Source organism: Homo sapiens, chromosome 17 (assembly GCF_000001405.40).
Source record: "Homo sapiens chromosome 17, GRCh38.p14 Primary Assembly".
Classification (NCBI taxonomy): domain Eukaryota; kingdom Metazoa; phylum Chordata; class Mammalia; order Primates; family Hominidae; genus Homo; species Homo sapiens.
Genome location: NC_000017.11, coordinates 530,381 through 556,587, shown reverse-complemented (window position 1 = coordinate 556,587; position 26,207 = coordinate 530,381). Strand labels below are relative to the sequence as shown.

The following is a 26,207-nucleotide window of genomic DNA, read 5'->3' as shown; positions in this document are numbered from 1 at the left end:
GGCTTCAGGGATTAAGCTTATAACCCATAAACTTTGGAGAACACAATCAAACCACAGAACGATGTTATGAATTGCTATTGTAAATAGTTTTTAAAAAACATAAACTACACTTTTAAGGATACTTTTACATTTACAGAAAAATTGCAAAGATCGTTTGTATGGTTCCCATATACCACTTACCCAGTTTCCCATATTATTAACATTGATATGAAATATTTGTTACAATTAATGAACCAATAATGATGTATTATTGGTGTTGCTTTTAAATTTTATTTTCCAATTCCTTGTTGCTCAGATTCTTTTTGTTTAATATGGGGTCTCAATCTGTTGCCCAGGCTGGAGTGCGGTGGTTTGATCACAGCTCACTGAAACCTGGAACGAAAGCGATCCTACCCTCAGCCTCCCAAGTGGCTGGGACTACACTGGGACTTCAGGCACCTGCCACCATGCCTGGCCAGTATTTTTTTATTTTTTGTAGAGATAGGGTCTCACTGTGTTGCTCAGGCTGGTCTTGAGCTCCTGGGCTCAAGTGATCTTCTTGCCTCAGCCCCCAAAGAGTTGGGATTACCGGGTGAGCCACTGGGTCCAGCCTGCTCAGATTATTAAGTCTCTGGTTTCTTCTTCCATTTCCCTTTGCCCCCTCTGCAATCTTTTCTTAAAGAAACTGTGTTGTTTGCCCTGTAGATTTTCCCAAGTTTTGGATTTTCCTGATTGCACCCACGAGTATTAATGGACATTTTACTTTGTCTCGTATTTCCCATAAATTGGTAGTTAGATGTAGAAGCCTGAGCTGATTCAGATTCTTTTTTACAGAAAACTACATCATAATGATGTTTTGTACGTCTGTCATCAAGATACATAATGTTTGGTTGCTCTTTGTGTGATGTCAGCAGCCTCTGATGCTCAAAGCCCAGATCCATTATTCCATTAGGAGGTATAAAGAATGATACTCTGGCCGAGTGCAGGGGCTCACGCCTGTAATCCCAGCACTTTGGGAGGCCGAGGTGGGTGGATCACCTGAGGTCAGGAGTTCGAGACCAGCCTGGCCAACATAGTAAAACCCCCGTCTCTACTAAAAATACAAAAATTAGGGCCGGGCGTGGTGGCTCACGTCTGTAATCCCAGCACTTTGGGAGGCTGAGGCGGGTAGATCACGAGGTCAGGAGTTTGAGACCAGCATGGCCAACATGTGGCCAAAAAGTGAGGAGCCTGGAGGGCTTAGAAAGTGGGGGTGCGGCAAAGCAAGGCAGTGGGTCAGCAGGGCTGAGCAGGCCATGTTTCAGGGAGAGGAATAAGGAAGTGTGAAGTATGAAGGTCCTGAGGGCGAAGGACCCTGGTGTCTCCCAGAAATTTAAAAGGCCAGTGTAACTGAAGCCTAGCAGGCAAGGTGGAAAGTGGCAAGACGGGGCCAGAAAGCTGGGCAGGACCCAATTCATGGTTAGGAATTTGGATTTTATTTTCGGTGTCATAGGAAGAGGCTGCTGAAGAGTTTAAGCATGATAAGCCTGTGCCATAATTTGTTTTATCCTTTGTAAATACACATGTAGATTGTTTCCAGCTTTATGAGAACAGTATTGATCTGTTTTGTTCACTAAATAACTCTCTTATTCTGTTACACAGCCTGAACAAAGCGGGCTCTCATTAAATATTGGTTGAATTAATGAATGCTGCAAAAAATACTTGCATATCTTTGTATGTTATTCTCCTTATTTCATTGAAATGCATTTCTAGTTGTGAAATTGCTGGTTTAGGCAATATGTGTATTTAAAGTTTTGCTTTTTGAATAAATTGCCTTCCAAAAAGTTTATGCTAATTTATGCACCCCAACAGCATTTTCAAATTTAAGACAAAACATTGGTTATTCTGTCCTGGCACGGTGGCTCACACCTGTAATCCCAGCTGTAGTCCCAGCTACTCAGTGCTTTGGGACACGGAGGTGGGTGGATCACCTGAGGTCAGGAGTTCAAGACCATCCTGGCTGATATGGTGAAACCCCGTCTCTACTAAAAATACGAAATTAGCCGGACATGGTGATGCACGCCTGTAGTCCCAGCTACTCGGGAGGCTGAGGCAGGAGAATCACTTAAACCCTGGAGGCAGAGGTTGCAGTGAGCCAAGATCGTACCATTGCACTCCAGCCTGGGCAACAAGAGTGAAACTCCGTCTCAAAAAAAAAGGCCAAAACATTAGCTATTCTTAGAGTTTGTGTAATAGGTTTACAGTGCTAGATTAATCAACTCCCAGGGATATCTCCAAGTATTTACAAGTCTTGGTCCCGTTATTTTTCTTTGAGCGCCAGGAGCGTGTTGAGTGTTTCTGTCCCCGGCTGTCGGCTGATGATGGCAGGGACCACATTTCTTTTGTTTACCACTGTATCCCCAATGCCTTAATGAGGTGCTTGGCCCGTAGTAGCATTCACTGACTATTTTAGCTGGTTTTACTGCTACTCAACACCAAAGGTTTCCATTGTGGGTGGGCAAGTCTGTAGTTCATGGGGCAGGGAGTATCTTAAAATCAGCGTCTTTTCAGAATGAGTTGATGTGAATTATTGATGTGTGGTAAGAAACAAGTACTGCACAGTGCTAAAGGGCACAGGCTCTGGAGGAAGTTTGATTCCTGGCCCTACCACTTCTATCTTGGGTAGGCCCCCCCTCTATTTTTCTGATCTGTAAAATGACGATGATAATAATAGAATCTTCCTCATAAGGTTGTAAGATTGGCCAGGCACAGTGGCTCACACTTGTAATCTCAGCACTTTGGGAGGCCAAGGCAGGCAGGTCACCTGAGGTTGGGAGTTTGAGACCGGCCTGACCAACATGGTGAAACCCCATCTCTACTAAAAATATAAAATTAGCCGGGTGTGGTAGCGCACGCCTGTAGTCCCAGCTACTCGGGAGGCTGAGGCAGGAGAATTGCTTGAACCCAGGAGGCAGAGGATGCAGTGAGCCGAGGTCGCACCACTGCACTCCAGCCTAGGCAACAAGAGCGAGTCTCAAAAAAAAAAAAAAAAAAAGTGTATGGAATTATGCCTGAATCATCAAACGCAGTAAATGTTAACTATTATTGTGATGGTACTTCTTTGGATAATCATTAACCGTGCATCCATTTCTTCTGTTTTTCAACAGCTAGAAGAAAAACTCAAAGAAAAAGTGGATGTAAGTCTGATTGAACGAATCAATCTGACTGGAGAGATGGACACGTTCAGCACGTATGTACCCTGCACACACTTACTGGCTGCCTGCCCTTTCTCCACTACACAGCAGCGTGCAGCACGTATGTACCCTGCACACGCTTGCTCGCTGCCTGCCCTTTCTCCACTACACAGCAGCATGTGGCACGTATATACCTTGTACACGCTTGCTCACTGCCTGCCCTTTCTCCACTACACAGCAGCGTGCGGCACGTATATACCTTGTACACGCTTGCTCACTGCCTGCCCTTTCTCCACTACACAGCAGCATGTGGCACGTATATACCTTGTACACACTTGCTCGCTGCCTGCCCTTTCTCCACTACACAGCAGCATGTGGCACGTATATACCTTGTACACGCTTGCTCACTGCCTGCCCTTTCTCCACTACACAGCAGCGTGCGGCACGTATATACCTTGTACACGCTTGCTCACTGCCTGCCCTTTCTCCACTACACAGCAGCGTGCGGCACGTATATACCTTGTACACACTTGCTCGCTGCCTGCCCTTTCTCCACTACACAGCAGCGTGCCTCAGGCTGTTGGCTTTAGTCACTACAGAACCTAAGAGGTTTCTGTTGGGTCAGAATGAGTCCCTACTGGCCACTAAGAAGAAGCTTCAGAACTGGGCTGCCATTGTACCTCCTCAGATGCAGTTGCTCTTTTAGCTTATGGGGTCTTCATTGTCTCACTGTGAAGAATAACCACAGAGAAGACATTCTCCCTTGGCCATTGCTGATCTGCCCCCACCTAAACCCACAGAAGGCCAGGCCTACCTTCAGTGTTTTAAAGTATAAAGTATAAATGGCTTAAATTTAGCCACCGAGGGAATAAGAGTGTGGGAGTGGCAGGGGAGGTCCGTCCAGGAAGTTCTAACAGTAAAGTCTTCTTTCCCTGTTAGGACCTTGTGGTATTTTTGTTGTGGTCAGTTTCTGTTCCACTGCCATTAAATGAGACAGGCATGGGCCAGGCCTCAGCTTTCACATCAACCACTTATTGACGAAGAATCAAAATTCTCAGCTTTCACATCAACCACTTATTGACGAAGAATCAAAATTCTCAGCTTTCACATCAACCACTTATTGACGAAGAATCAAAATTCTCTTCTTAGTTTATTTCCTCCACTTTTCTTAGCTTTTTATTTTCTTCAGTTCTGACTTAAACATTTTTGGGAAGCAGGTTCTTTGGGAGGAAGATGTGAACAGGGATACTGGGGTGGTGATTAGGGAGACTGACCGTGGGATTCTATATCCTGACTGGGTGAGGACACACCCAGATAAAACCAGGACATGAAGAAAGAGCCAAGCTGTTCCTCCGCTGTCATTAATTAAAGCTCAAACTTTGCCAGTGAAATGATGAATCTGATTTTTACACAGGGGCCTGAGTGTCAGTCATTCAGACGGCCGTTGTTTGAAAGGGTGACCACAGTGATTTGTTTGATTTGCAGCGTCATCTCCAGCAGTATTCAGCTGCTGGTTCAGGATCTGGATGCTGCCTGTGATCCTGCCCTGACTGCCATGAGCAAGGTAAGGTCTTGGGAAATGGCATCCTACAAACTAACGAGAGCAGCCCAAGGTGGCTTCTACTGGCCCTTGTCTGTAGCTTCTCCAGGCTCATCGGAGCGTAAAGGATCAGCTGAGGAGAATGGAGAGGCCCCGGAGTTCCTGAAAGCACTCAGTTAGTGTCGCACCTGCGTCAGTTCAGTTGCTTGTCCTTTTAGAATGAGACAGAGCATCACAGTATTGGAGGATGGCAAAAAAAAAAGAGACGAAGTAAATGTGTTTGATGAGTCTAAAGGAGATGTTGTCTGTGGTTTATTTATATTTTTTTAGAGACAGGGTCTCTCTCTGTCACTCAGGCTGGAGTGCAGTGGTGCCACCATGACTCCCTGCAGCCTTGACCCTCTGGGCTCATCAGTCCTCCTGCCTCAGCCTCCCAAGTAGCTGAGACCACAGGTGCATGCCACTGTGTCCAACTACTTTTTAAATTTTTTGTAGAGCTAAGAGTCTTGCTATGTTGCCCAGGCTGGTCCTGAACTCCTGGCGTCAAGCAGTCTTCCCACCGAGTCCTCCCCAAGTGCTGGGATTACAGGCATGAGCCACAGTGCCCAGCTGAGATGGATCATTTTTAATTACTGAGCGCTACCTCATGTTCCTCTCATGTTCCTATTTTTGGCTTTTATGTGCCTATGCCTTTTTTTCCCAAATGAATGTCAATTCCGTAAGTGCACAGACCATGTCTTTCACCCCTCTTTTATCTCTCATGTAGTCTTGAATATGGGAGATTCATTTTTGTTAATTAAAAACCAATCAGCCATGTCCTTTATTTACGTATTATCTTTGATTAGTATCTGACACATGCTAAAAACCTTGGTGTGGTCTCACCAGAATGGGTGTTTTCATTAGTGCTTAAAGTAGTAACTTCTGACTCATTCTTCATTCTTGCCCACTGAGAGGTTTTTCCAACTCCTTCTGAGCTCTGGTGCCAATGTAAGAGTATTTGATCAGGTTGTGAACTCTGGTTTTCTAATATCGTGGTGGCCCATCAGTCAGCCCTTGGCCCTCAAGTCTCCTCCTTTGGCACTTACTGAGCGCTACCTCATCTTCCTATTTTTGACTTTTATGTGCCTATGCCTTTTTTTCCCAAATGAATGTCAATTCCGTAAGTGCACAGACCATGTCTTTCACCCCCTCTTTTATCTCTCTTGTAGTCTTGAATATGGGAGATTCATTTTTGTTAATTAAGTTGGAAATGGGCCTTTGTTATGCTAAACCCAAGTAACATGCAGCTGCAACTCTAGAACTTTGTAGAGCAGGGGTTGGCAAACTAGAGCCTGGGAACCAGATCTGGCCCACTGCTTGTATTTGAAAATAAAGTTTTATTGGAATACAGCCATGTTCCTTTATTTATGTATTATCTATGGCTGCCTTTTTGCAATATAGTGGTAGAATTGAGCCATTGCAACAGAGACTAGCCCACAAAGCTAAAAAAATTAAATATTTACTGTCTGGCCCTTTACAGAAAAAGTTTGCCAATGTCTGCTCTAGAGTCATAGGCTCTTGTAGCAAATTCTGGAGAAACAATTTATCTAGGTTATACTGGCCAGTACCAGAGGGCAGTGGGAGGAACACTAACTTTAGAGTCAGACAGACCTAACTCCTCCAGGGTTTCCTTTGGGGTGTTGAGCAAATGATTCACCTGTCTGGGCCAACGTGACATCATCTGGGCCCACATACCCCAAGTGAACTGTGGATCTCTGCCTCCCAGCATTGCTGTGAGGATGAAACATGGAACGGGCGGGTCTAGTGCCAGGCACATAGTAAATGCTCATTAAATGTTAGTTCCCTCTCCCTCTTGTCAGGAGGAATGACCATGTCACAAGGTTGTGTAAGCAGACATTTGGTCTGAATTTGGTTTTGCAGTAGATTGTAAATATTTAACAAAAATAAGATTAAAACCAAAATGTAGGCTTTAGGGTTTTATGAACTGAAGTGGCAAGTCCTAAAATAGCTGATGTCACAGTTTTATTCAAAAAGCTGATCTTTTCAGCAGTCCGGTGCTGATGGGTACTTCCAGTATTCTCAGCATTCACAGGAGAACACTCTGAGCAGGCAAAGTGAGGCCAGTCCATCTGCTTAGAGGATTCGTTTTGCCAGCTCTCATGATCCCCTCGCTGCTGGTAAGCATTCTCTACATCCTGAGTGGGATCTGTGCCAGCTGCCATCTCTCCTGAACTGCCACACACTTCAGATCGGAATGCAGCTGCCGAAAGAATTTTCACATTCACCAAAGGAAGAGTGGGATTTTTTTTTTTCAATAAAATCACGGTTGGAAGGGGTTTAACACTGCAAGTGTTGCTTATACGAACTGTCGGTTCGTTCGGTGGATTTCCCTCAAACCCTGCCCCGTCCCACCCTCCACTTCTGCCCCGTGCCCACACCAGCAAATACGAACAGAGACCGTGCCTCCAGAGTCCTTTGTTTATATCATAGGAAAACCACAGACTTGGGAACGCAGCAGCTGGGAGGCCATTACTTTTTGTCTGAGTCTTCTGGAGTTCTAGCAAAATAAAATCCATGTGATGGAAATAAACAAGCCAAGTGGTCACAAATTGATTCAACACACATTCTGTGTTCTTGATGCCTGCATCCTGTTTTGTGTAGTTTCTTCTAGGATTTAAAAAAACTTTTGTGATAATGGTTATTTCTGTCTCTGATTCTATCATTTTTGCTGCTGGTTAAACAGTTCAGTTCAGACCCTGCCCAGCACAGTGCTGGGAGCTGCAAGGCTCAGAAAGGCATAAACCCTTGGCTAAGGTGTTTAGATTCCAGTAGCTGAGGGCAAGAGATGTGTAAGATGACAGCAATACCCAGTAACTTTAATATAAGAGATGAGGAAATCAGTGCCATAAGAAAAGTACAAAATACACCCTTTTTAAAGAGGGAGGAGTTCATATCCAGGTGGGGAGGCAAAGAAGGCCCTCGTAAGGAAGTGGTGTTTGAAACAGATGAGGGCGAAATTCTGAATGAGTTTGTGATTAGTAGGGCAGTTCAAACAGGGTGAAAACATGAGTAAAGAGAGGTTAGGGAAGCTAAAGAGCTTGGTTCAAACTGCCAATCTCATTCAACATCCCAGGGGCTCCTCAGGCTACTCCTGTACTTGGACTGACAGAGTTAAGATTGGAAACGAGACTGTCCTCAAGGAGTCTATACCCTGCTGGGAAGAAAACTGAGAACAACCAATACTGTAAATAAGTGTATCTTATAAATGTCAGAAGGACTGTTGGCTGGCCAAAGTGGAGTGTAGTCGTTGGATATTTCCAGAAGGACTGTTGGCTGGCCAAAGTGGAGTGTAGTCGTTGGATGATTCCAGAAGGACTGTTGGCTGGCCAAAGTGGAGTGTAGTTGTTGGATGATTCCAGAAGGACTGTTGGCTGGCCAAAGTGGAGTGTAGTCGTTGGATATTTCCAGAAGGACTGTTGGCTGGCCAAAGTGGAGTGTAGTCATTGGATGATTCCAGAAGGACTGTTGGCTGGCCAAAGTGGAGTGTAGTCATTGGATGATTCTGAGTTGACGGAAGGAGACTTCCTTGACAAGAGGGATTGAGCCTGGCAACTTGGTTAAGTCATTTTCCTGGGAGACCTCATTCTCATGGAAGGCATCCCATGGCCTCTTCCTTGGTTGGCATATAGAGCTTTCATTATCTATCTCTTTACTCCACTGCTAGGTCAGTTTCTGCCGCTCACTCCGGAGTATGTGCCCTGTTCTCCAGTCGCAGCCATGTTTACTTCCCTGAATGCATATTGCTCTTTTGCGGCTTCCATGCCTTTTCTCATTTTATTCTTTCTGCCCAGAATTTTCTTCCTGCTATCGTCTGCCCAAGGAGCACGTCCTTTAAGATCAAGTTCAAATGTCTGTCCCCATTTAAAAACCTGAGGTATAATTCATATACCACAGAATTCACCCTTTTAAAGTATACAGTTGGCCAGGAGCAGTGGCTCACTCCTTTGGGAGGCTGAGGAGTGCAAATCATCTGAGGTTAGGAGTTCGAGGCCAGCATGGTGGGACCCTGTCTCTATTAAAAACACAAAAAATTTGCTGGACATGATGGCACACACCTATAGTCCCAGCTACTCAGGAGGCTGAGGTAGGAGAATCTCTTGAACCTGGGAGGCCGAGGTTGTAGTGAGCCAAGATTGCAGCACTGCACTCCAGCCTGGGTGACAGAGTGAGACTCTATTTTATAAATAAATAAATAAAGTGTACAATTTAGTTGTTTTTAGTATATCCACAATGTCATGAAACCACCACCACCATCTAATTCCAGAACATCTTCATTACCCCAAAAAGAAACCCCGTACCTCTCAGCAGTCATTCTACATTCCCCTGACAACCATTAGCCTACTTTCTGTCTCTATAGATTTGCCCCTCCTGACATTTTGCATACCTAGAATCATATGGCATGTGGGACATCTTGTGCTTGGCTTTCTTCACTTAGCGTAGTGTTTTCAGGGCATGTGCATGGTGGGGCATGTGTCAGCACTCCATTCCTTTTTGTGGCTGAGTAACATTCCATCATATGGATAGACCACATTTTGTTTATTCATTCGTCTATTGGACGTTTGAGTTATTTCTACTTTCTAATTTTGAATAATGCTGTGAACATTCATGTACAATTTTTCGTGTGAACATGTTTTCAGTTCTCTTCAATATGTACCTAAAGGCCAGGCGTGGTGGCTCATGCCCGTAATCCCAGCACGTTGGGAGGCCGAGGTGGGCAGATCACCTGAGGTCAGGAGTTCAAGACCAGCCTGGCCAACATGGCGAAACCCTGTCTCTAATAAAAATACAAAAATTAGCCGGGTGTGGTAGCGTGCGTGCCTGTAATCCCAGCTACTTGGGAGGCTGAGACAGGAGAATGGCTTGAACCTGGGAGGTGGAGATTGCAGTGAGCCAAGATTGCACCACTGCACTCCAGCCTGGGTGACAGAGGGAGACTCTGTCTCAAAAAAAAAAAAAAAAAAAAAAGGATCTAAGGGACCTAAGGAATGGAACTGAAAGAGCCGTATGGTCAATTTATGTTTAACATTTTGAGAAAGTGCCACACTGTTTTCTGAAGTGACTGTGCCGTTGTACCTTTCCACAGCAAAGTGTAAGGAATCCAGTTTCTCCACATCTTCTCCCACACTTGTTTTCCTTTTTTAATTATAGCCATTTTCGTGGGTGTGAAGTGGTATCTCATTGTGATTACAGTTTGCATTCCTTGCATGACTAATATGTTGATCACCTTCTCAGATGCTACTGGCGATTTGTATATTCTCTTTGAAGAAATGAGAATTAAATGTTTTGCCCATTTTAAAATTGGGTTGTCTTTCTGTTGTTGAATTGTAAAAGTTCTTTTTATATCTGGATACTAGACCCCTTATCAGATATGAAATTTGTAAATATTCTCTCCCATTCTGTGGGTGGGTTGCCTTTTCACTTTCTTGATAATGTCCTTGATTTTCTGAAGTTGGTATATCGTGTGTGTGTGTGTGTGTGTGTGTGTGTGTGTGTGTGTGTGTGTGTGAGATATCTAAGATACCATTGCCTGATCCAGAATCATAAAGATTTACTCTGTGGTTTCTTCTAAGAAATTTAGGTCTTCACAAAAAAGAAAAAAAGGAAAAAAATGTAGGTCTTCAATCCATTTCGAGTTAATTTTTGCATATGGTGTGAGGCAAAGATTCAGCAGCATTCTTTTGCTGAAAGGATACTCAGCTTTCCCAGCACTATTTGTTGAAACGACTATTCTTTTCACATTGGATGATCTTGATACCCTCGTAAAAAATCAGTTAACCATAGATGTGTGGGATTATTTCTGGACTCTCAGTTCTATTCCATCTATCTGTATGTCCACCCTCAGGCCAGTACCACACTGTTTGGCTATAATAGCTTTGTAGTAATCTTTGAAATCAAGAAGTATGAGTCTTCCAACTTTGTTCTTTTTCAACACTGTTTTGGCTCTTCTAGGTCCCTTACAATGTCAGCATTTCTTGCCTCAGCCAGAGCATATTTATTTCTCTTTCAAGACACCATAGTACCTAGACTACCTTTCTGCTTTGTTATGTAATCATTTTTATGTCTTTGTCTTCCCTATTAAACTTTGAACAACTTGAGGGCTGTGTCTTATTCATTTTGGAAACCCGTGGCATGGCACAGTACTTGCTTAACTGTAGTATTCCCTGAATGACTTTGAAGGTAAAGAGGGAGCCAGGGAGTGGGAGAGAAAGAACCAAAGGACCACAAACACACTTTTGACCAAAGATTGGTAAACAAGTGAGACATAGATAACTCTACTGAGCAGAGGTAGCCAGGTGGAGCTGGTAGATGTAGAGTAGGAAACTTGGACAACTTTGTGAGAGACGGTGGGGTCATAGAATCCCTGAAACCTTTAGGTCCATAGCTGGTGCTGTTGAGGATGGAGTGATGCTCCTCAATGGCACCTGATAGCAGAAGGGCTTCTGACTTCAGCAGGTGGCATCCTGGAGCCGATTGAAGAGATGTGGGAATGAAGGAATACGAGCCCGCGGGGGTGTGGCCCTGAGTCCTGCTGCTAGACAAGGAGAGGGAAATGCAGAGCGGTAGTTTGCTAGATTCACATGCAGGTGCAGCCTTCTGCAGGCCAGGCCGAAGAAGGGGGAGGAAAATGTGATGAAAGTCAGGTGGTCCCTCTGAAACTCTGACTTTGAGATTCCAGTAGTGTTGCTGATGAGTTACAGCAAAATTAACTTCTAGACCACGTTTCCTTCCCATAGTGTTATTTTCTTTCTTTCATAAAAAAATTTCTTCACTCTGTTGCCCAGGCTTGGGTGCGGTGGCATAATCATAGCTTACTGCAGCCTTGACCTCCTGGGTTCCAGTGATCCTCTCACCCTAGCCTCCCAAATAGCTGGTACTACTGGCGCACACCACCACACCTGGCTAATTTTCTTGATTTTTAGTAGAGATGAGGTCTTGCTATGTTGCCCAGGCCAGTCTCAAACTCCTGAGCTCTAGTGATCCTCCCACCTCGGCCTCCCAAAATGCTGGAATTACAGGTGTGAGCCACTGTGCCTGGCCTCCATATTGCTTATTTTCTTAGATAACCTGTATGAGTTGATAATAAGTTACTATTTACTGAGCACTTACCAGGAATTGGAACCCAATTAATTTCATTCTAACAATAAATTCATCAGATGGCTATGCTATTTCCCCTTTTCACAGATAAAGAAGCTGAAACAGAGACATTAAATCACCTGCTCCAGATCTTTTAGCTACTTGGGAGGCTAAGGTGGGAAGGTCACTTGAGCCTGAGAGGCAGAGGTTGCAGTGAGCTGTGATCACGCCACCACAGTGCCTCTTTATGCAGGATTGTGGCATGCCATACAGAGAGAGTGAGTAAGTCTTTTTGGCAAATGTGGCAACTGAGGCAAAATCAGCTTAAGTAACCTGCCTAAAAGTGGAAGAGCCTCGGCCTCCTAAACTGCTGGGATTGCAAGCATGTTGCCATCGTGCCCGACCAGATGTTTTTGAAAAAAGGAATAAAATTTAAATCACCATAATTTCAATTAGTTGATACATTTCTGTCAGCATGTGCCCAGTCCTGGTGGGTCCACACGAGTGTTCATGCTGATATGATTATGAGTTCTTCAAGCATTCACCATCATCATGGTGTATATTCATCTCCAGCTTTTCTTGATCTGACACCAGGACTTTTCTACAGTGGAGAAGATGTGTTGAACAGCCAACCCACATATTCCAATCTGCGTTGAATATTTTTCCCTGAAAACTAATGAACTTTCCTTCTGGTATCTTCTTTCCTTCCTTCCTCCCTTCCTCCCTCCCTCCCTCCCTGCCTTCCTCACTCCCTCCCTCCCTCCCTTCCTCCCTCTCTCCGTTCCTCCCTTCCTCCCACTCTCCCTTCCTTCCTTCTTTCCTCTCTCCCTCCCTTCCCCTGTCCCCTCCCCTCCCTCCAGACTCCCTTCCCTCCCTCCAAACTCCCCTCCTTCCCTCCCTCCTTCCCTCCTTCCCTCCCTCCCTCCCTCCCTCCCTCCCTCCCTCCCTTCCTTCCTTCCTTCCTTCCTTCCTTCCTTCTCTTCTTCATATTATGCCCAAAGCCATATAACTTATAATAGTGAAGCTAGAAGTAAAACTAGTTCTCCTGATTCTGGAAAAAGTAGTTATTTGGAGTGTTTTGGTGGAAATACAAAGGATTCTATCTTTTAGATTTAAATCCTACAAATCCTTAGAAATGAGTATGTCTGGTTATGCCCCTGTACGTAGGATAGAGAGCCGTGGGCTCCCTAGCAGGGGCTGTTGGTCTCATGGTCCCCGCCTCTCTCCGTGCCTTTTCCTAGGGCTGCTCACATCACTCAGGTAAATAAATCCAAGTCTCTGTTCAGAAGCAAACACACCTAGTGTTTTGCCTATTAATGGTAGTTTTAGGAAAAAACAGAAACTGAATAAATTAAATTTTCTTACCGTCTGGCACATAATTTATATTAGGTTTCAGGATTGTGAACATGTACCCATTTAGGAGGCTGCGTTATAATCCCCCAAAGACACTTTGAAACAGGTAGAAGAGTTCTCAAGTCTGTTCTCATTTTCCTCAGTCATTAAAATGCAGATCTGTTTCAGAAGGACCATGGAAAGCCACAGCTAAGAAATCCTCAAGTTCACTTCTACGTTGAATCAAGACAAGTCTGTTCTCATTTTCATTTTCCTCAGTCATTAAAATGCACATCTGTTTCAGAAGGCCCACAGAAAGCCATGACTAAGAAACTGTCAAGTTCTACCTAGAATCAAGACACAGCTTTCTTTTTCATAAAAAAGATTTTTCCCATTATGACAAAACTAAATCACTTCCATTTTAGAAAAATGCAGATTTTTTTTTTTTTTTTTTGACAGAGTCTCGCTCTATCCGGCAGGCTGGAGTGCAGTGGCGTGATTTGTGCTTATGGCAACCTCCGCCTCCCAGGTTCAAGTGATTCTCCTGCCTCAGCCTCCCAAGTAGCTGGGATTGCAGGTGCCTGCCACCACACCCGGCTAATTTTGTATTTTTGGTAGAGACGGGGTTTCACAGTGTTGGCCAGGCTGGTCTCGAATTCCTGGCCTCAAGTGATCCACCTGCCTTGGCCTCCCAAACTGCTGGGATTACAGGCATGTTGCCATCGCGCCCGGTCAGATTTTTTTGAAAAAAAGAATAAAACTTAAATCACCATAATTTCAATTAATTGATACATATCTGAATTAATTGATAATTATCAGTTATCGAAATTTAGTGATTTTTAGTGATAGTGCAAGTATTCTTAAAATTATAACAGTAGCTAAAATTTACTGTGGAATTTATACGTGCTGCGAGACACTGTGTTAAGAGCATTCCATGCGTTATCTTTCAGTAATAGATTATAGATGTTACCATCATCCCAATTTTATAGACGAGAATACTGAGGCTCAGAGAAATTAGATGACTTGTCCCGGTCACCCCTTTAGAAGGTTGCACAGTGTCAGAAGTCAGACTGGCTGACTCAATTTCAGCATCTTAAGTACCATCTTAATGACCTTTCCTGCTAACTTAGCAGTTACGCTTCCTTAGGCAGGTCACTCGCTGTCCTCAATCCTGTTTCATCCTCATTTATTATTACTCACAAAGAGGAGTAATAATACCTCTTTCACTACATGATTCATTCATCAGGCAGCAAGGTCATGTGAAAATGTCAGGCACAGCACCTGTTACGTGGTAGGTGCTTGATAAACGTTCCTTCAGCGCCCAGTGCGTAGTAGGTGCTTGAGAAACGTTCCTTCAGTGCGTGGTAGGTGCTTGATAAACATTCCTTCAGCCCCTGGTGCGTGGTAGGTGCTTGATAAACGTTCCTTCAGCCCCTGGTGCATGGTAGGTGCTTGATAAACATTCCTTCAGCGCCTGGTGCGTAGTAGGTGCTTGATAAACGTTCCTTCAGTGCGTGGTAGGTGCTTGATAAACATTCCTTCAGTGCGTAGTACGTGCTTGATAAACATTCCTTCAGCCCCTGGTGCGTGGTAGGTCCTTGATAAACGTTCCTTCAGTGCGTGGTAGGTGCTTGATAAACGTTCCTTCAGCGCCCGGTGCGTGGTAGGTCCTTGATAAACATTCCTTCAGTGCGTAGTCGGTGCTTGATAAACATTCCTTCAGCCCCTGGTGCGTGGTAGGTGCTTGATAAACATTCCTTCAGCGCCCGGTGCGTGGTAGGTCCTTGATAAACATTCCTTCAGTGCGTAGTCGGTGCTTGATAAACGTTCCTTCAGCACCTGGTGCGTGGTAGGTGCTTGATAAACATTCCTTCAGTGCGTGGTAGGTGCTTGATAAACATTCCTTCAGTGCGTAGTAGGTGCTTGATAAACATTCTTTCAGCCCCTGGTGCATGGTAGGTGCTTGATAAACGTTCCTTCAGTGCCTGGTGCATGGTAGGTGCTTGATAAACATTCCTTCAGTGCGTAGTAGGTGCTTGATAAACATTCCTTCAGCCCCTGGTGCATGGTAGATGCTTGACAAACATTCCTTCAGTGTGTGGCAGGCGGTTGATAAACATTCCTTCATCTCTTTGGTCTCCACCTGATGCTCAGTGCCCTGCTGCACTTGCCGAAGGTACCTATAAATATAGCAGATGCTGCGGGAGTGAAAGCCCCACCAGGCATCAGAGTGAGAGTGAGCGTGTACGTGTGTGCCTGAGTAAAGTCTACAGCTTGAGGCCAACACCCCGGCAGCCTCAGTTATGAGACTTCAGTTGCCTGAAATGTTCCCAGAGCCCAGCTGTCTGAGTCTATGCTCTGTGTCTCTCTAATCCAGTGAAGAAGTAGGAATTTAAGTATTCACATTTTCAAGAAACCTCTTTCCAAGCTTCCTATAGCAATAGGAAAAAACAAGATCCACTGAAGCTAGTTGTGGAGCGCTGTTCTCTGGTCAAAGTTCCTGCTACAGTAGACTCTCTCTAGAAAGAGTGCTGACCCCCCAGCCCCACTGTGGAGCGTCAGTCAGAGCACATACTTCCTGCCCAGGCCGCAGAAGCTGGGCTCTGGGGACACTCTGGGCCCTGCAGTCTCTTCTTGTGGTGGTTAAACTAGGTCCCGGAGGCACTCATCATTCTTACTGTCTTCAAACTGTGTCTCATTTAGATAGTAGTACCAGTTGAACGCCATCTGTATTCAACTCTACCCAAGCCCCCAAAACAAAAAGCACAACAAGAAACAATTTTAAGTGTAGAGGGGTAACTTCTAAATGTCAAATGAAAAGTTTACCTGGAAAAGTTGAGGTCTCATTTCTACTGATGGCTTTTCATGATGTTTGTTCTTCCAATGCAAGGTACTGTTTGTTTCCTTTTTTGAAAGAGTTCTTTGGGCCAGGCGTGGTAGCTCACACCTGTAATCCCAGCACTTTGGGAGGCTGAGGCAGGAGGATTGCTTGAACCCAGGAGTTCAAGACCAGTCTGGGCAACACGGTGAGACCCCTGTCTCTACAAAAAGTAAAAAAGAAAAAAATATATTTTTTTAATTAGCTGAGCATGGTAGTGTACACCTGTGGTCCCAGCTACTTGGGAGGCAGAGCTGGGAGGATTGCTGGAGCCCAGGAAGTCAAGGCTGCAGTGAACTATGATTGTACCACTGCACTCCAGCCTGGGCAGCAGAGACTCTGTCTCAAAAAAAAATGAAAAATAAAGAGTCCTTTGCTTGATCACTATGTTTCATTAGCGTCTCCTTGAGAAACAGGCCTTACCTTTAACGAAGGCCTAGTTAAGTGCTTTTATTCTTTTTTTGGGCAGGGTGGCGGGGGCGGGTCGGGGGGGAAGTTGTCTAGCAAGCACCTTGTTGTGGGGTTTGGGCTTTAGATAGACCTGGTTGGGCTTTAGATAGACCGGGTTTGGGCTTTAGATAGACTTGGTTTGGGCTTTAGATAGACCTGGTTTGGGCTTTAGATAGACGTGGTTGTCCCAGCTGTGAAATTTTGTGCAAGATACCAAATCTCTTTGAGCTTTTTGAATTTCCTCATCTATAAGGTTGTTGTGAGAACTTAGTGAGATCATGTATGAATAGTAAATGAGACGACGTATGTTTAGGGCCATGCAAAGGGACCTGCGAAGTTCGGTCTTAATGTAGCTATCCTGGGCAGTTCAGGTTGTGACCCAAACCTTCAGTCACCCATGGGGGATGATGGCAAGCATCAGCCATCTGAGGCTGGAGTGCAGTGGTACAATCACAGCTCCCTGCAGCCCCAACCTTCTGGGCTCCAGTGACCCTCCTGCCTCAGCCTCCCTGGTAGCTGAGACTATAGGCGTGTGCCACATTTTTAAAAAATACTAAAGGTAAGGTCACCTTTTATTGTTTTCTAGTACTTTAAATCACTTTCTTAGTTGACTAAGCTGACTTAAGTTTAAAATCATGAATCCACTTGGCCTTTGCTAATACTTCTTTTAGCTTGACCAATGGAGTCATGACTGACCAGAGTATTAAAGCAAATCAGCTCTTTTCACATATATTCCAAATGTGGGCACATACTGACTTGGCCAGTGATCATCAAGAGGAGTTCGGTGACGAGCATGCGGAATAACCAGTGGGAAGTTGAAGAAATCCCAGGCCCCTGCTTGGTCTTGCTTCAGAGCTGCTTTGTAACTGGTGACAGAGCACGTCGCCACCTTCTTTCATGGAGGGCTGTCATGTTTAGATTATTGTTGATAAACCGTTTTGAGATTTTGAAATATACAAAGCTGCCAGCTTGGAAAGTAACAGTCATTGCTATGGACATGATTGGCTTTGGGGGCATCAAGCCCTCCCAGTTCGCTGTGTCTACCCAGAACATTCTGCTCCGAGTCCTGCTGCAGAGCCCAGGAAATGCTGACAGCACCTGTCAATTTTGGCCTCACCCTATGAGCTCATTTAAAATCACCCAGGATGCTCATTGTTTGGATGGGTCAAATCTTCAAAATCAAATGGAAAAAGAAGCCTCTTGCGTAAGATAAAAGATAATGAGGAAAACATTTCACATAACCAAAGCATTAGAATGTTAAGTCACTTCATATTAGACCTTTCTACTGTTTCTTCATTGTTTGTTTCTGTTTTTTCCCAGTAATAAATTAGAGTTCTTTTTCCTGTGTGGAGCCTGGTTATGAAACCTTGCATAAGACTCTTCATGTTTCTGGGCCTTGGCTTTCTTATCTGTGAAATGAAGATGGAGGTCCCTTCCTGCTTTTCTGTGGTTCTGTGTGTACACATCCCTAAAGCTTTTAGAATACAAATATCCGCTGATTTGAAAAAACATTAGGAGTCATTTGAGCTTCCCACAGCTGGAGAATCATCCACGTACGATGTGATTCTTTTAAACAAGCTCTCTCAGTATTGATTTTTTCCTTTCCCCAAGAGCTCTGTAAAAATAGTGTTTTCTTGCCAGAGACATCAGGGCCTCAGAACTACTGACTTCCTTCTATGAACATATTATATGGTTTGTGTTTGGCTTAGGATCTCTTTAACAGACCATCCAGCTCCATTGTGAGAGGCTGACTCAGCAGAGCCCTCCAGACCGTCCAGCTCCACTGTGAAAGGCTGACTCAGCAGAACCCTCCAGACCATTCCCACTCTTCGGGATTAGAATGCCCTTCCCTGCCAGCCCGGGGCAGGCTAGGAGCTGGTGCTGCACCCATCTCCTGCATGCACCCTTGGGGGATGGCACACTGCAGCATTGCCTCCTTCTGTTCCCAGGACTCAATGTTGCCAAGTGCCACGTAGTCCAAGAATCCCGCCAGTTTGCTATAGGTGTCTTCCAGAGCCTGTCGTTAGGGCTCAGGTTGAAGCAGGTCTGTCACTTTTGTTCACAGCTTGTTCAGGGACCACCTCGGTGCTCTCAGCAATGTTCTCTCCCCTGCGCCTGGCTCCTGGCCTGTTCCCCACGTCTCCATCTTACCCTCTGGTCCACCCTAGTGTTTGCCAGAGATTCTCTTTCCCTTCCCCTTATTGAAATCCTGACATAATCCCAAAGGTTTTAGGAGTGTAAGATTCTACACGCATACCTCTTCAAGTGTTTTATTATGGAAATTTTTGAATATATTCAAAAGTAGAGGAAACAGTGTGGTCAGCCTCTATGTACCTGTCACTCAGCTTCACGATCTTATTTCATCTGCACCTCTTCCCGGTAACTTCATATTATTTTGAAGCAACATCCCCACGTGTCATATCATTTCTAGTTTTCTGTGTTAAAGAATCCCAAACTCCTCCCAGTTGACTGGAGAGAAAGGTGTCTGTGAATTCCCCTCCAGGTTGCATGTCACTTAGTCCAGCCACCTCTCTCATCTCCCAGGCTGCCGGTCAGCTTGGGAGTCGGTGTCCCTCCCCGTTCTGCTGCAGTCCCCTGCTGTGGGGCACTCGGCAGGAGAACAGGATCCTTTACGAGTGGGTAGCTTAGCTGAGAAGGGAAGGCTGTTTCAGGCAGGTCGGGGACAAGGCAGGAAAAGGAAAGGGTCTGGGTCACACCTCACTGTCGGGTCCGCTGGGCACACTCGCATTTGTCCTGAGTATCAGTCCCTACAGAACGAATAAGAAACTCCCCAGGACAAAAGGGCCTGATTCCTGGGATACCAAAGCTGTGACCTGACTTCCACTCCAGCCCCTCCCTTCCCCAGTAACAGGCGACACCGTTCTCCTGCGAGGGATTCAACGCCTCATCCTTTCTCCCTTTCAGATGCAGTGGCAGAACGTGGAGCACGTTGGTGACCAGAGCCCCTACGTCACCTCTGTCATTCTGCACATCAAGCAGAACGTCCCCATCATCCGTGACAACCTGGCTTCCACACGCAAGTACTTCACTCAGTTCTGCGTTAAATTTGCAAAGTAAGTCCTGGGGCGTGCTCATCTCTGGGTTCTTGTTCTTTTTAATAGACTTTATGTTTTAGAACAGTTTCAGGTTCACAGCCAAATTAAGCAGCAAGCACAGAGATTTCCCGTGTACCTGACCCCCCCAACATGCACAGTCTTCCCATTACCGACACCTCCCCACACACAAAGTGGCACATTCGTTACAGTGGATGAACCTGCATCAACACGTCATTATCACCCGGACTCTGACGTCGCGCTGGACATTCCCTCGGTTTGGACAAATGTACAGTGACGTGTGGCCGCCATTTCAGTGTCATACTCAACTGGGTTGTTTTTAAAACCATACTTCCCACCAGCATCCTCACAATTTGAGTGTCCCCACCATCCAGCTGCGGTTTGTTCTGGTGCCTGCAGTACTGATTTTAATTTGTACACAAAAGAAGCATAATCATAAAACTAAATCTGCTACTTAAAGTCATAGGCAACAGTAACAGCAGTACAATTGCCAGCCACGTCAAGGCAAACAAAAATGAATGGGGCCTACTGTTGTTTTGAACTGTGCAGGCATAAGCTCTCCTTGCCCAGGATTGGATAATTAAAATTCTTTTTCAGGGATTTCATATATGCATTTTGTTTCTCTGACTGGCTTAATAAATGCCTCTTAAGGGTAGGAGCCATCGGTTCTGTTTCTTTTGAGCCTTCTTGTCCTCCCTCCCCCTGGTATTTTTTACCATGGCTGCTAGAATTTATCTATTCATACTTGGACACACTCTTGGTCCGAGGAAGGCACTAGAAATTGGGATGCACAAGCCAGGGAGCTCCCTGGCCAAGGCAGGTGAGTGCACCCTGAGCCGTGTGTCTTCCTGCTGTGTCTTGTGTGTGGCCATTTCTGCCCTGAGTTTTGAAGCGAGGAAATAGTTTAGTTCTTTGCCGATCACCATCTGGCTTAGCACCATTTTCCGTGATACCAGGTGGTGGTGAGGGTCAGTGTCTCCTCTGACCAGTTATCAAGCAAGCATTTTGGCAGACTTCTCAGGGAAGGGCTTCAGGAGGGTCAGCCCAGGCCAAGCTACTGTATTTGGGTTGTTCCCATCCAGGCCCCAGCTGGTGATTCAGGACTCCAAGTTTCTGTCTTCCCCCAATCTCTCCCAGTTTCCCTGTACCTCACAAATGAACCCCTCAGGACTAACAATTATGGAGCGGCTTGTGGTGTCAGCTTTACTTTCTAGTTTGTCAAGAAAGGATAGAGTGGACTCTCCAGGGAGGCATTAATGTTTGCAGATGGCAGATGGACCAGGAGGTGAAATTCCCTCACTCTCTGGGTGCTCATTAGTGTGTTAGAAATGTTGCTGATAAATCACATCGTGACGCTCCCCATAACTGCTGGTAGAAGCAGTGTCTCTGTAAAAATTTACTGTGACTCAAAATCTCCAGGGTGGCTGCTCCGGGGTCTCATTGAGCTTACGTTAAAGTGAAGGAGGAGTCCGTTGACTTAGCCAGTCCCAGCGTCTCCCAGCTCAGTCATATGATTGAGCTTACATTAAAGTGAAGGAGGAGTCTGTTGACTTAGCCAGTCCCGGCGTCTCCCTGCTCAGTCATATGATTGAGCTTACATTAAAGCGAAGGAGGAGTCCGTTGACTTAGCCAGTCCCGGCGTCTCCCAGCTCAGTCATATGATTGAGCTTACGTTAAAGTGAAGGAGGAGTCGGTTGACTTAGCCAGTCCCAGCATCTCCCAGCATCAGCCTCACATTCTCTCAGAGCCCTTGAGTTTCATTGCTAAGCCCAGGTTGAGTGCGCTGGGAATTGGATGCCCCCCCTCACATCTGTAATCATTCAGCCTGGGATCTAGGAAGTGGTTTTCTGTTTTCATCCATGGTGCCTTCTCATCCTGCTAAAATCCCGCTTAACAGAGGTGGGCTTGTGAGGAGACCCTTCCCTGGTCAAGGGCAGCAGCCACCACCGCCCTGATGGCCCAGAGAAGCCCTTGGCAGTTACCCAGCACATTGCTTGGTTTTTTCCCCACAGGACGTGTGTCAGGTCCTCATACTCCCCCCATCGCCACCTGTAGACTAGTATAGAGAGCCAGTTCAGGGGCACAGCCAAAGGTTTTTTTTTTTTTTTTTGATACAGGGTCCCACTCTGTTACCCAGGCTGGAGTGCAGTGGTGCAACCACAGCTCACTGCAGCCCCCATCTCCTGGGCTTAGGTGATTCTCCCACCTCAGCCTCCTGAATAGCTGGGATTACAGGCGCTCGCCACCCGGCCTAGCTCATTTTTCTATTTTTTGTAGAGATGAGATTTTGCCATGTTGCCCAGGCTGGTCTCAAACTCCTGGGCTCAAGCAGTCCACCTGCCTGGGCCTCTCAGAGTGCTGGGATTATAGGCATGAGCTGCCATGCCCAGTCCGGAGCATGTTCTAATGTGAAGCAACTTAGGTTACAAAGCGCTGTGTGCACAGCTGCCATTGGTCATGAGTTCAGTTTCATGTTGCTTGTCTGGCTCTGGTTTCCAGCACTGAGGAATTCCTTCCAAATAGCCCCTTGTTTACTCTCCTTCCTGATCACAAGCCACCTCCAGATCCGATCTCCGGACTCCAGTTTCCTCTCCCTCAGCTTCCTTTCTACCCCACCCCTGCAAAACCATAGATGTTTCCTTTTACCTCGTTTGCTGTCTTAAGCAATAGCAGCCTTTCCTGTTGAGACATCAAAATCCACAGCCTGGTTGAAACTGCAGTTGAACCACAAGCAACTTCCCTCATCCACTGAGCTGATCCTCCTCCCTTCAATCAAGGAGATAATGAGACAAATCTCATAATAGTGGTTGGGAAGATAAAATGAGAAGTCACATATTAACTTCCTGGTAAAGTGCTGATACCAAGCTGACATTCAAAAAGTGGTAGGTGGCTGGGCGCGGTGGCTCACGCCTGTCATCCCAGCGCTTTGTGGGGCCGAGGCAAGAGGATCACTTGAGGCCAGGAGTTCGAGACCAGCCTGGCCAACATGGTGAAACCCTATCTCTACTAAAAATACAAAAATTAGCTGGGTATGCTGGTGCGTGCCTGTAGTCCCAGCTACTCAGGAGGCTGAGGCACCAGAATTGCTTGAACCCAGGAGGCAGAGGTTGCAGTGAGCCAAGATGGTGCCACTGTACTCCAGCCTGGGTGACAGAGCGAGACTCTGTCTCAAAAAAAAAAAAAAGTTTATGATTTACTCAATGTGCATTCACTTGAGCATCTCCTATGTCTCAGACCCAGAGTTAAATGTTTTGGCCTGATAAACATGGCCCCCATCTTCGTTTGCCTTAATAGTCAGGTGAAGCAAAATAGACATGTAAGCAAATGAGCATAATGAACTAGGTTAGATGTGAGGGTGGAGGCCTGCAGACTCCATGTAGAGTATGGCGAAGGCAGCAGAAGAAAGGCTTTCTAGAGACGCCGTTGAACAGGATCTGAGAGGTGCGTGTGTACTGACCCACAAGCCCCTTCTAGGAAAGGCAGTCCAGGCGAGGGAGCAGTGTAGGCATTAAATAGCCCCCAGAATCCTGGGATCTGCAAGTGGCTCAGTTGGGTTGAAGCATAGGGAGGCCAGGGCTTAGCAGGATGAGGCTGGAGACAGAGAATGAAGAATCAAGGAAGCCTGGCCCAGTGGCTCACGCTTGTAATCCCAGCACTTCCGGAGCCCAAGGGAGGAGGACTGCTTGAAGCCAGGAGTTTGAGCCCAGCCTGGGCAGCATAACGAAATCCTGCCTCTACAAAAAAATTAAAAAGTAGCCAGGTGCGGTGCCTGTAGCCCTTACATCCAGTCTGATTGGGCTAGCTTCGATCATATTCCCTCTCAGGACAAACAACAGTCACCAAAGGAATGCTGTGCTCTGACGAGCTGAGAATAGTTAGAGTTCACTGGGAGTCTAGGATGGGATCCGGTTTTCCCGGGCCTGCCAGGGCCTCATGTAACTAAACAAAACCAGGACTTCACTCAGAAGAAAAATAAGATAATGGGCAACAGTGGAGTCCACTTCGATTCTTCATTAAAAAAGGTTTTTTCATGGAGATACGTGGAACCTTAAAGTTTTTGCATTTCTTTCCTCAAGAGAGAATAAGCCTAATTTGTCACTTCTTTTTTATCCACAGCTCCTTCATTCCCAAATTCATCACCCACCTCTTCAAGTGCAAGCCAATTAGCATGGTGGGAGCAGAACAGGTGAGATGGACGTAGTATCAGGCATTTGCCTGGCAGCTTTTGTTGTAGATCAAGCACATATTCTTCTAGTCCAGATCTACTTGGCAGGAATAAAATTGATGATGTCCCCTGTTTGGGGACAGTATAATGACTCACCCGGAAGGTTTCTTAATTCGTTCTTCCATTTATTTTTAAAAATTTTGTTTGAACGCCTACTAAGTTCTGGGTGCAGGGTATAACACAGCAAGCACCATGGAAAGGTCCCTGCTCCTAGTGCTCACACTCCAATAAGAAGAAGTGGCTGGGCCGGGCACAGCGGCTCACGCTGTAACCCCAGCATTTCGGGAGGCCTGGGCAGGCAGATCACCTGGGGTAAGGAATTTGAGAGCAGCCTGGCCAACATGGTGAAATCCCATCTCTACTAAAAATACAAAAATTAGCTGGGCATGGGGGCAGGCTACTGGGGAGGCTGAGGCAGGAGAATCACTTGAACCCGGGAGGTGGAGGTTGCAGTGAGCCGATATCACACCACTGCACTCCAGCCTGGGTGACAAAGTGAGACTCCATCTCAAAAAAACAAACAAACAAAAAAACTAGCAAAAAACTTGGAATATTGGCCGGGCATGGTGGCTCACGTCTGTAATCCTAGCACTTTGGGAGGCCCAGGCAGGCGGATCATCTGAGGTCAGGAGTTCGAGACCAGCCTGGCTAACATGGTGAACCCTGTCTCTACTAATAATACAAAAAATTAGCCGGGCGTGATGGTGGGCGCCTGTAATCCCAGCTACTCGGGAGGCTGAGGCAGAATTGCTTCAACCCAGGAGGTGGAGGTTGCAGTGAGCTGAGATCACACCACTGTACTCCAGCCTGGGCAACAAGAGCGAAACTCCATCTCAAAAAAAAAAAAAAAAAAAAAACAATTAGCCAGGCGTGGTGGTGCATGCCTGTAATCCCAGCTACTTGGGAGGCTGAGACAGGAGAATCACTTGCAGGTGGAGGTGGAGGTTGCAGTGAGCTCAGATCACGCCACTGCTCTCCAGCCTGGGCAACAGAGTGAGACTCCATCTCAAAAAAAAAAAAAAAAAAAAAGAATAAATCCCAGTGATGGGAGGCTGAGATGGGAGGATCACTAGAGGCCAGGAGTTCAAGACCAGCCTGGGCAACATAGTGCAACCCTATCTCTCAAAAAAAATAAAACATTAGCTAAAAAACGGTCCACACCTGTAGTCCCAGCTGCTCAGGAGGAGGCTGAAGTCGGAGGATTCTTTGAATCCAGGCTGAAGTGAGCTATGATCGTGCCGCTGCACTGAAGCCTGGGCAACAGAGTAAGACACCATCTGCCCCACAAAAAAAAAAAGAGTCTTTTAATGATTATAGTAAGCTCAGACCCAAAGCCAATATCTTCAGAAAAATATCAGTTCATCCAGTGCTTACATCCATTATTGTTATTATTTTTTAACAAACCCACAGCCAACATCCTATGTTTACTTCCGTTTTGAGGTGTGGATGAGAAAACCATCTGCTGGAACTGGAGTTTTACTTAATCAGACCCCAGGCCAGTTCAGGTGGGCAGTAGGGGAGTGTGGATCTTGACAGGCCCAGAATGGGGAGGGTGTGGGTGGGAACTACAGGGCAACGTGGCCCCTGAACGATTCTCACATGAGTTGAGGTTTGGCTGGGCCTGTACTTGCCCTGATGTCTGGGCCTTGAAACTCAAGCAGCCATGTAGCTGCAGGCGTGTTCACTCAGGCAGCAGAACCATCAGAATCAAGTTAACTCAGCAGTGTTCATAGACTGAAACAGACGCTGCCTCCAGTAGTGGAGCAGCTGCCATCCAAACTTGAACAAAAGCTATGGCATTGGAAGCTAAGATTTAGCCCAACCTCAGCTGTGTCTGCCTTGCCACAAGGGTGCCAGATCCTAAATTAGGTTTTGCTTTAATACTTATGCTGAAAATGGGATGGGAGACATTTTTCTGCTCTTTGTTCTCTGAGTACTATATAAAGTGAGTTCTTTATCTTTGGGCCCCAGAGTCCTCGAGCAATTGCAAGGGCACGTGGAACTGACCCACACCAATATTGATCATGCTTCTTGCTAGTTTATGATCTTCAGATCATCCTGTTTTGCAGGGTCACTAATTATTCTTATGACTGCGTTCACCTATGAAAGCTTTTCTTTCCCTTGAGATTAAGGATAAGAGGAGAATGTCCGCTGTCACCATTTCTATCCCACGTTGTTGTTGAAGTCCTGGCTAGGACAACAAGGCAAAAAATACAATATTTTTAAAAGAAACAAAATATATACAGATTAGAAAGGAGGAAACTAAGCTGTCATTTTTCATGGAAAATATGATTATGAGTAATAAATCTAAAAGGATCTACAGATAAACTGTTAGAATATAAATTTAGCAGGCCGGGTGCAGTGGCTTACACCCTTAATCCCAACACTTTGGGAGGCCGAGGCGGGCGGATCACAAGGTCAA

The 26,207-nt window shown here is 45.8% G+C and overlaps 1 protein-coding gene and 2 long non-coding RNA genes across 12 annotated transcripts in view; 1 reads left to right on the top strand and 2 right to left on the bottom strand.

The window, feature by feature from the left end:
• Positions 1–26,207, top strand: part of VPS53 (VPS53 subunit of GARP complex) — a 206,172-nt gene that overhangs the window by 158,252 nt on the left and 21,713 nt on the right. For 7 of the 10 annotated variants that reach the window (XM_047436345.1, XM_047436344.1, NM_001128159.3 and 4 more), the window contains 4 exons: positions 3,126–3,208; positions 4,638–4,716; positions 19,412–19,560; positions 23,677–23,746. In XM_047436345.1, the coding sequence (XP_047292301.1) occupies positions 3,126–3,208; positions 4,638–4,716; positions 19,412–19,560; positions 23,677–23,746 (381 nt within the window). Of the gene's footprint in view, positions 1–3,125; positions 3,209–4,637; positions 4,717–19,411; positions 19,561–23,676; positions 24,643–26,207 lie in introns of those variants that run through there. The other 3 variants (NM_018289.4, NM_001366253.2, NM_001366254.2) reach the window with 1 other exon arrangement.
• On the bottom strand, positions 248–704 carry LOC124903891 (uncharacterized). Its single transcript, XR_007065571.1, has 2 exons — positions 569–704; positions 248–372 (listed from the first exon to the last, which is right to left on the bottom strand). It is a non-coding gene; the product is annotated as an uncharacterized LOC124903891 (long non-coding RNA).
• VPS53-AS1 (VPS53 antisense RNA 1) overlaps positions 5,235–26,207 on the bottom strand; it is a 28,617-nt gene continuing 7,644 nt past the window's right edge. Inside the window, exons 2-3 of the long non-coding RNA XR_007065570.1 lie at positions 15,985–16,199; positions 5,235–6,952 (exon numbers count right to left, since the gene is read on the bottom strand). This is a non-coding gene — a long non-coding RNA (VPS53 antisense RNA 1). The remainder of the gene's footprint in view (positions 6,953–15,984; positions 16,200–26,207) is intronic.